At 44.6% G+C, this 9,650-nt stretch overlaps 1 protein-coding gene across 5 annotated transcripts; it reads left to right on the top strand.

Moving 5' to 3' along the window:
* Positions 1–7,692, top strand: FAM110C (family with sequence similarity 110 member C). 5 transcript variants are annotated; one of them, XR_001738890.2, is made up of 4 exons: positions 1–1,066; positions 3,558–3,697; positions 4,201–4,388; positions 4,879–7,692. XR_001738890.2 is itself a non-coding variant. In NM_001077710.3 (2 exons), exons 1-2 carry the CDS (start codon positions 121–123, stop codon positions 4,896–4,898), a joined length of 966 nt encoding a protein of 321 aa, NP_001071178.2. In that variant the 5' UTR covers positions 1–120; the 3' UTR covers positions 4,899–7,692. The 5 variants fall into 5 exon arrangements, 4 of the variants coding, with proteins under 4 accessions (NP_001071178.2, XP_011508674.1, XP_016860179.1 ...); NM_001077710.3 differs by lacking the exons at positions 3,558–3,697; positions 4,201–4,388; XM_011510372.3 differs by lacking the exons at positions 3,558–3,697; positions 4,201–4,388 and having other exon boundaries at positions 1–1,122.
* Positions 7,693–9,650: the final 1,958 nt, after the last annotated feature.

The raw sequence follows: 9,650 nt of genomic DNA, 5'->3' as shown, positions 1-9,650 counted from the left end.
ACTGGGGCGCCGTTCCCCACCCGGCGCGGACTTCGGAACCGGCCCTGGGACTGACTGGCTCTACCACTCGAGCGCGTCTCCGCTGGACCCGGAACCCCGGTCGGTCCATTCCCCGCGAAGATGCGCGCCCTGGCGGCCCTGAGCGCGCCCCCGAACGAGCGGCTCCTTCCCCGGGACCCCGCGGCTACCCGGGACCCCGACGCCGCGCGGCCGGCGCGCAGGAGCGCAGTGGAGAGGCTGGCGGCGGATCGCGCCAAGTATGTGCGGGGTCGGCCGGGGACTGGCCGGGGCGTCGCTTCCGAGGGCAGCGGCCCGGGGGCGATCAAGTGCCCGGGGAACGACCCTGGGCCCCCGGCCCGCGCCCCGGCCCCGGTGGCGCGCAGGGCTATTGCGCGGAAGCCGTTGAGACCGGACTCGCTGATCATCTACCGGCAGAAATGCGAATTCGTGCGAGGATCGGGCGCCGACGGCCCCAGGGCAAGCCTGGTGAAGAAGCTCTTCCAGGGGCCGGGTAAGGACAAGGCGCCGGTGCCCCGGACGGGAGACGAGGGCAAGGCCGGGAACCCGGAGACGGTCCCGACCACTCCTGGCCCCGCGGCGGACCCCGCAATCCCCGAGACCCCAGCCCCAGCCGCGCGGTCCGCGGCGCCCTCCAGTGTCCCGGCCGCGCCCCCTGGGCCAGAGCCGCGGGTGGTGAGGCGTCGGGGGCTGCAGCGCTCACAGTCGGACCTCAGCTCCCGCTATTCCGCTGCCTTGGCCGAGTCTGACACCTTCTTCCAGTACTGCGGCCTGGACCCCGAGGTGGTGGAGGCCCTGGGGAGGGAGAACTTCACCGCGGGGTCGGACTGTGTGACCCTCAAGGTGCGCAGCGTGAGCGTCGCCACCTCCGGCAGCGGCTTCTCCCGGCACAGCGGCGGCGACGACGAGGGGCTGCAGGAGGAGGAGCTGATAGAGCAGGTGCCCAGCACCACTTCGGTCATCGAGAGGAACGCCCGCATCATCAAGTGGCTGTACACCTGTAAGAAGGCCAAGGAGACCCCCAGCCAGGAGCAGAGCCGGACCCGAGGTGTGTGCCCAGAAGGCTGGGGGCGGGGCTGGCCGTGTGCGGGGCTGTGAATCTTGGTGAGTGTGACCGAGCTGGGCGATGGCCAGTTACAGCTGCTTAGAATTGAGTGCGATTTTGAGCTACAGTGTGAAAGGGACCCAAGAGACTGACGCAGAGGCTTGTGAGTTGAGCCCCCGCTGCTGAAGAGCAGAAGGTACCAATCCAGGCACCTGCTGGTCCAGGCCCTTAGGAGTCTGCTGCGTCTGGCTGCCTGGAAAGGCAATTCTGCAAATTAATATGTCCCATTTGGCTTATTATTGTGAAAACAGGAGAAATCCAAAATGCTGCCAGAAAGCAGTTTTACACCCCTAGTATTCTTTCCTGAGCTGAAAACAGCTTGAGAGCCCTAGTTCCTGAGTTCATTGACCTGTGCTGTGGGCGGTCCTGATGTTTGATTGGAGCTGACCAGTCCACCTGCAGCCCTAGGTAGGCGCTGCTGTGTTACTGGAACAGAAAGGAAGACTCCCTGCACTTTCCTGGAGGCCTGTGCTGAAGTGGTGAGAACTTCTCCACAGGATCTTGTAGCACTTTGGCATTCACTTAGCAACAAAGATCTTTATTTGGCTAAATTTTATTTAAATTGTTTTGAGAGCTTCAGGTTTTTAAACTGGGGAAATTGGACTAGATTGTAACTAGAGTCTATAGTTTATTTGCCTCTGATGACACTACAGGAAGTAACCTCCCTTTGGACAACCAGTAGTGCCGGATTGACCTCGAGCTCTTTTTGCTTTTCACTGGGGAACTGAGGAGTGCTGGTCTTCACTGTTACCTGCTCTTCCCTATGGGCGTCTTGGAAAGTAGTGAAGAGAAAGAACCTTTTCAGGGCTGTCTTTGAGAACGAACAATTTAAACTTTGCGACATCTTTTTTTTCCTCTTACCCTTCAATGACAACTTGCTATAAGTAAATTTTAAAAATCATGAGATGAAATTATTTTCTGCCATTGTGATAAACTAAGTGAAGATGCATGGCAGCCTGTAGAGTTTGGGGGAGGCTGCCCAAGAGATGTTTGCACAGGGCTCACCTATGTTTGACAGCTAAAAATATCTCCAATAATTTCTCTGGCTATGACTTTAGTACAGACATGAAAATTAATGAGAAGAAGATAATTCATTCTTTTTCTTGAACTCAGAAGGCTCAGGACTTAAGTTCTTCCTTATAATTTATAGAAGATTTGTGTTTTCCACTAGCCTAAGTTCCCAACAAATATATATAGGCAAAGTTCTAAAAAGCAAACAAACATTAATTTGTAGTTTTCACAAATTGTCTTTTGGATCTGAGATGAATGAATGCTGGCAAGGGTATTTCCATGATGGCACCATGTGTAGGGCAGGAGCTTTGGAGAGTGGCCAGGTCCGTGGAGGGACAGTGTCTGGTGGATAGAGCACTAAACCAGAATTAAGGGCCTGTCTTATGTTAGCAAATGATTCCTGCACTATAGACCAGGCGTCCTTTGTCCATAAAAAGAAGGGAGATAGGCGGATGGTTTTCAACCTCTACATTTTCTAGTCTGTGTAGTAATAATCTGTGTTGCATGACTGAAACCCAGAAATGGAAAACAAACAAAAAAAAGTTGTCTATTGAAGTACGTGAGAAGTAAATTTATGAATAAGCTCCCTCCAGGTAGCCATAGCATGTGCAGGCAGTAGGTAGACTTGGTGGTATAAATAGTGGGGAGGTAATAATGTGGCATACAAATGAAACCAAAGTAAAACCTGACAACATAAAAATAAAAGCAGCCTGCTCTGATCCCTCCAGACCCAGGCTGGTTCCCATCTCGAATTAGCCAATGTCAAAAGAGTGACCTGAATGAGAATTTAGTTGACTTCATAGACTAAATCCTAAAGACCTTTTAGGCTTGGACCTATGAAAAATATAAGAAGTTTAGTTAGCTTGTGAGAACTTTCACTTTTATGACAAAGAGAAATAGTTGAAGGAAGAGGGAAAGTGAGAGCAGGTTTGGGAAGGCACTAAGGATGGAGGCAGGAAAAAGGCTCATGGGCTTCTTCCTCCCCTCATGTCTCCCTCCACCTGAATCCCGTTTGTTCCAGACTGGAGACAATGGCAACTGTCTTCTGAGAAGTTTCACATTATTTCTCAGAGCAGGGGTACAGTCCCACAGAAGCTACCCCAGTTTTTATATGGAATTGGCAGTCACCAGCACTATAAAGATTTTCTTTACTAATGTACTTCCCTAGACCCAAAACAGCACAGGCCTCTTTGAAACTGCAATGCAGAGACTTACTGCCCGGCTACCAGGGGTGGGGTGTATGAGGAGAACAGAGTTGCCTGGGCTTTCTCCAGATCACCGGAACAGTGTCTGCTCATGACCTTAGCCCCTTCACAGCTCCCCACCTCCCAGCACTGGTGTTCCCACTGGAGGAGACCAGCAGGGAAAGCCACGACAGAGTGTGAACACCTGGTCAGTGGGGCGGTCCTCTGACTTCCTGCAGAAGTCCCTTGTTCTGAGACCAGTTCTGCAACTTCTGGAAGATGTGGAAGCAGGAATTTAAGCTGTGCTTTTTCTGCTGAAATTTATAAGGATTCATTTTAGGATTTCTTGAAAGATTCAGAAAACTTGAGACGAACAAAGGTAGGTTTTCTAAGTGAAAGAGAAAACAAATATATTTGGAGGTTTTTGTCCTCTTGGTAGATAGAGATTTACAACTTATAATAAAAGTGTCTCAATTATAATAGAACTAAATACGTTTATAAGTTTCTTGCCCCATGGGGTAAAGATAATTGCTTTTCAAAACTGAGACTATCACAACTGGGCAATGACTCGTATAATCCGCACACAAGTCCTCTGGGGAACCCATGAGCAGTAGTTGGTTGTACATGGGTAATTTTGGTATTCTGTTTCCCAGAGCTTAGTTTATGAAAATATCTCTTTTATCTGCTGTGATGTAGTCATCTTCCTGTCTTTCAATTCATCAAACTAGGGACTTGTCAAAATTTAGATCTTTCTGGTTTTCTGTTTTGCGTAGAATATATAAGTTGCTGCTTTTAATACTGGCATAAATAACTTGTCCTTTGGGAAATTAGGCATAAAACATTGCTTAATTTCAAGGCAAAAATGTTCGGACAATTCCACAGCTATCTTCACATTTATCCTTGACACAAAGAAAAAAGAAATACCTGTAGAAGCGCATCGAAAGCTCCTGGAACAGAGTTGTGTCTCATATTTGCAAAGATGCAGAAAAAATAAACCCGGGACATCCAGCTTTCTTTTCCTTTCTTCTTTGACTATTCTGAGAAGCTATGCGACTAGGAGCACATTTTAGGTAAACACGTGGCTTGAGTAGCCATAAGGCCACTCTTCCCTGTCGTGTGACCCGCGCCTGGGCCTTTAAGAGATATTGGTGTTTGAAAAGGGAGGAATCTGTTTGCCCTCAGATATTTAGTTCAACTGCCTGCATTGCTTCCTATTTTGTTGTCCAACTCTGTAGTAGTTAGCACTGGCCTTACCAACATGTAAAGAAATTTTCTTTACTGCCCCATGAGTAGTTGGAGGCAAAGAGAAATTTTTAAAGCGCAGAAAAAGGCCTGCAGGGAGATGGAATTTGTTCTGCCAGAGAAACGAGATGATAGCTGTATTTAATAAAGTTACTGACCTCTTGTCAAAATTTAAAACGCAAAAGAAGATGTTTCAAAATGCAGAGAATGTCAGAAAACAAAAACTACAGGGACCAGACCAGTATAATGTTTAGTTTTCATTATACTAACTTTTGTCTAGACTGGAGTTGATTCACTATTTTTTCTTTAACTCCTCAGGAAGCAAACCTTCCCGATGATGAAGACTTCTTGAAGGATTTCATGGGTGATTTGGGATCCCAGGACCATTTGGCTAGTGTGCCTAGGTGACCACATGATTGCTGTTTTACCAGGAATGCAGCATCCCATTGACAAAACAAGTGCTCTGAGAAGGTTTAAAATACTACAGAGAATATGGGAACACAGACCTTGAAATTTAGCTGAGTTGTAACAGCTGAAACTCCAAGAGGTGTCTTCCTTGTTTGAGGTGAAACTAGTGTTGCTTCCAGAGGGCAGCTGGAAACCGTAAAGCTGTTTGGAAATCTTTTTGACTGACTTGCTGACAAAGAGGTACTGTGATGCATTTTAACAATATCTAAGTTGATTTTTTTTTAAATCAAGGAAAATAAAAACCAAGCATGAATGCTATGGTATGTGCCCCTTTTGACCATCCTGGGCTGATTAACATCATTTAAATCAAAGTAATCATAAAAAGGCATATTCTACTTCAATTATGTGGTCAAATAAGAGTAAACACACACACTCACACATGCTGACCCCAATTGCCAGAGCATTACTGCACTATAAATTACGGTTAATTCCCAAATTATACTACTGTTTATCTTATTTAACAAGTCAGAAAGCACTTTTAAAATAACTTGAGGGCTACAAGGTCATTCTATTAATGTCATTCTCCATTCGGGTTGTAGGCATGTGGAAGTACCCATTAAAAGATAAGTTAGAGTTTAAATACTGATAAACAAAACCTTTTATTGCAACTGGACAGTTTCTGGAGAGTTAGCGGAAGAATCTTGGAGTTTCCTTTGGTCAGATGAATACAACATTTCACTTTTGCAGCACTATTTAGAATGTACTCCATGGTTCTCTTGTTCCCAACTTCCAAAAAGAACAGAAAACTTTGGTTTACACAGAACACGGGCATCTGAGGCAGGACCTCTTCCCTGCCCTTTGATCTGACTCACACCTCCACATATGACGTAATCAACCCAAATTTGACACCAATTCACTCTTTTCTGCAAAGGGCATATTTTGAAACAAGGGACAGCCTGAGGGCGGCTATAATGAGAATGTTCATGGGGGTTACTGGGTCCCTAATTCTGAACTTGCTTATGACACCCAGAGTGAATAGATTCAGATTCAGAACCTTCTGAGAAATAACCCAAAGAAAATTTGTTACCCAGCCAATTCTTCGAAAGCTTAATATCAAAATATATCTTTTCAAGAAGAAAATCGTTAGAGAGAAGAATGTGGAGGGGAGAGAAATGGGTTTCTCATTGATATGATATTTTGTTAACCATTTCATTTTGAATTATTCAAGTTTTGGTTAATATTGTATTCTTTTTTCGTAACTATTTTACCGTGAGAGTAGGTCATTGGGTTACTTAGATATTTATTTTTACACAGTTATTAGTCTTCAGATAGTTTTATTTTACTTCATATGATTTTAGTTTTTGTCAGTATAATTTTAAATCATGTTTTTCTTGGTCATCTCTTTGTGTATATTGTGTAATTGGATTTTCATTGACTGCAAGTGGAGTGTTTGCCACTCAATTCAGTACTCAGTACTATGGTGACTTGTTTTCAAATAAGTCTCAGATACACATTTAGGGAGCCTTTGCTGGCCGAATATAGACTCTGTCAGGACAGCAGGTCCCCTGATCTAAGAATTTTCCCCAATGGTTGCTCTAAAAATGCTGCTATTTTGCTGTTCACTGTATTGCACTTAGTTAAAAAGAAGATAATGTGAAAGATGAGAGCAGTTTTTTAAAGGATCTTTTCATATACCCAATTCCCTTATTTTCAGATGTCCCATCAATTTTAGATATGAAAGCTTTAAGTAAAAGTGTGTATGCCTTTCTACTGTCAGAACAGGATGGATGCAGCCTGGGTCAGATTTATTTAAGATAAAAATCATGCAGACTCATCATTCATATCATAGGTGAAAAATGTAAAAACCAAATGGTTTCCACTAAAGCCACCAAGATCTTTTAGAAATGTTTGCACCTTTGGTGGTGGCACAGGAAAAGAGAAGAATTCAGCTGGAGTGAATTCTAGAAGTAGATATCAGAAACGGGGCATGAAGAACAGGGGAACTGGGTGGCATCAGACTCCTAAAGAAGTGAGTTAATTTTCCTTCCCTTCCATTCAGATTCATGCCACAGCTCCATATCTTGAGTATGTGTAAGAGGTGAGTTCCTTCTTCAGCCAGGGGCGGTGGCTCATGCCTTTAATCCCAATGCTTTGGGAGGCCAAGGTGGGAGGATCACTTGTGCCTTGGGGTTCAAGGTTGCAGTGAACCATGATTGCACCACTGCACTCCAGCCTGAGTGACAGAGCAAGACCCTGTCTCTAAAAATATATATAAAAAGTAAAACTAAAGAACTTCTTGCCTAAACCTGAATTACCGCAATTTGCTGAGTGACTTTGAGAAAAATCAGACTGTTTAGTTCAGTCGGGATGAAAAGCTTGCGATTGCTTCCCACAAGAATGGGCAATAGTGACGGCTGCAAGGTACTTTTATTTGTTCATGAAAGAACGACAATTTTTCAAAATGTAATTAAACATAATAGAATGTTTTAAACTACTGGGCACTGAAACTGGAAGAAAAAGGAGGCTTTATTGAACATTCCCCTTTTTCAGTTGGTTCAAAGTTCAGCACTGTGGTTATCATTGGTGATGCCAGAAAACATTAGTAGACTTAGACAATTGCTATGGCAGTTTCTAAACAGAGCTTTTTCTATACACTATTTGCAACTGGAGTGCAATATTGTATATTCTGTGTTAAAGAAATAAAGTATTTTTATCATTTATTAATACTGATTTATGAGTTTGAGTAATGCGGCAAAAATTTGAAATGAGAGTCTGCTCATTACAGTTCCTTGTCTTCTGTTTTTCTCCCTTTCTTCTTGAGTGTTCTCTCATCAGCTTATCAGTAGAAATGAGGGGAAGGCATTCCAAGGCTTGTCCTAGGTAAGTTGCATGGCACCTGAAATCATCGACTTTCCTCAAGATGAAATGCAGTCAAAGCAATTTTGAATATTCTGAACTTTGCTTCCCTTCAATTGTTTTTAATTGTTTCATCAGTCTTTTGCTTAAAATATTTTTCTTCATGTTTTATTAACATTGTCATTGGAAAATGAATGGGCACAAAGATACAAACAAAAGCACAGTTTGTAATCTTTCTCATTAGCAAATTAAGTGAAGGCAGACTCTTCTCATGGTGAGTTTGCTCTCAGTGTGCGCCATGCACCCTGAGGGTGTGGTGGCTTGGGCAGCCGGTGAGTCATGGAAGCCTGATCATCCTTCTCGCTGCCCTGGCTGAGCCAGACTCTGCCGTCTTGCTCAGTCTTGCAGTGGCCTATGCCTAACCCTAGGTAAGAATCCAAAGATAGGCTTGCTTTCTTCTTCTTTTTTTTTTTTTTTTTCTGAGTCGGAGTCTCACTCTGTCGCTCAGGCAGGAGAGCAATGGAGCAACCTCGGCTCACTGCAACCTCTGTCTCCCGGGTTCAAGTGATTTTCCTGCCTCAGCTTCTTGAGTAGCTGGGATTACAGGTGCCCACTACTATGCCCAATTAATTTTTGTATTTTTAGTAGAGACGGGGTTTCGCCATGATGGCCAGGCTGATCTCGAACTCCTGGCCTCAAGTGATCTGCCCACCTCGGCCTCCCAAAGTGCAGGGATTACAGGTGTGAGCCACTGTGCCCGGCCAAGATGGGCTTTCTTGAGGAGAGGAAATACATCACTTCTTTATTTCTGTGAAGAATATGGACAGATACTCAGCCTGCTGTAGAAACTCTCTTATTGTACCTGTTCAGAAACAGTCCAAGCATTGGGTGATGTGGCTTATGTTGCGGAGTTCAACAGCAGCTGCCTTTTCCCTTCAGGTAAACTTGGGGGCTTACACAATGCTTGGGTGGTTACACTTTGCACGTTCACTGATGAATCAAATAGATTTATATGGTATTTAAATGTTCCAGGTTACAAATACTAAGCACGAAGGAAATTGAGTGTCTCAACCAGAACCTTATAATATTGGTCTTGGAAGTGGCACGGAGCAGCTGACGGGAGGCAGCACAGAAATTCCAGAACATGTGCTCCTGTCCGGCAATGGCCACCTGATTTTCTCTGCTACAATGCTTCAAACTCTATGGTTGATTGTCATCTGTTGTTGTTGTTGTTGTTGTTGTTGTTGTTTTGAGATGGAGTTTCACTCTTGTTGCCCAGGCTGGAGTGCAATTGTGCGATCTCAGCTCACCACAACCTCTGCCTCCCAGGTTAAAGCCATTCTCCTGTCTCAGCCTCCCGAGTAGCTGGGATTACAGACATGTGCCACCACGCACGGCTAATTCTGTATTTTTAGTAGAGACGGGGTTTCTCCACATGGGTCAGGCTGGTCTCAAACTCCCAACCTCAGGTGATCCACCCGCCTCCGTCTCAAAGTGCTGAGATTACAGGCATGAGCCACTGTGCCCGGCCGATTGTCATCTTTATATTATCTCATTAAAAATTATCATTAAAGTTGAAATGTGATCTGAAGGGGAGACTGTATTAAATCACTAATAACTATTAACTTTAGGTCAAAATAAAATATTAATTTCCTTAGAAAGTGAGAATCTGAACCCCAGGATCAGAGTGGAAAGACCTGGATCCTGGCTTCAGTATACCCTGTTGATTACTCAATGTTGAGCTTAAGGAGGACTCTTAATTACAAATGCGAGAACAGAAAATTACAGAATTGTCTAAACCTAAATCTACTGTCCGCCTTGTGGTA

This window comes from Homo sapiens, chromosome 2, assembly GCF_000001405.40.
Source record: "Homo sapiens chromosome 2, GRCh38.p14 Primary Assembly".
Lineage (NCBI taxonomy): Eukaryota > Metazoa > Chordata > Mammalia > Primates > Hominidae > Homo > Homo sapiens.
This window is presented reverse-complemented; position numbering and strand designations above follow the sequence as displayed.

Bases quoted from the DNA above. Each gene is read 5' to 3' on its own strand.
- FAM110C (XM_017004690.2), top strand. From the start codon at position 121: ATGCGCGCCCTGGCGGCCCTGAGCGCGCCCCCGAACGAGCGGCTCCTT. The intron at 1,067-3,440 runs GTGTGTGCCCAG...TCATGACCTTAG, and splicing joins GGAGCAGAGCCGGACCCGAG to CCCCTTCACAGCTCCCCACC.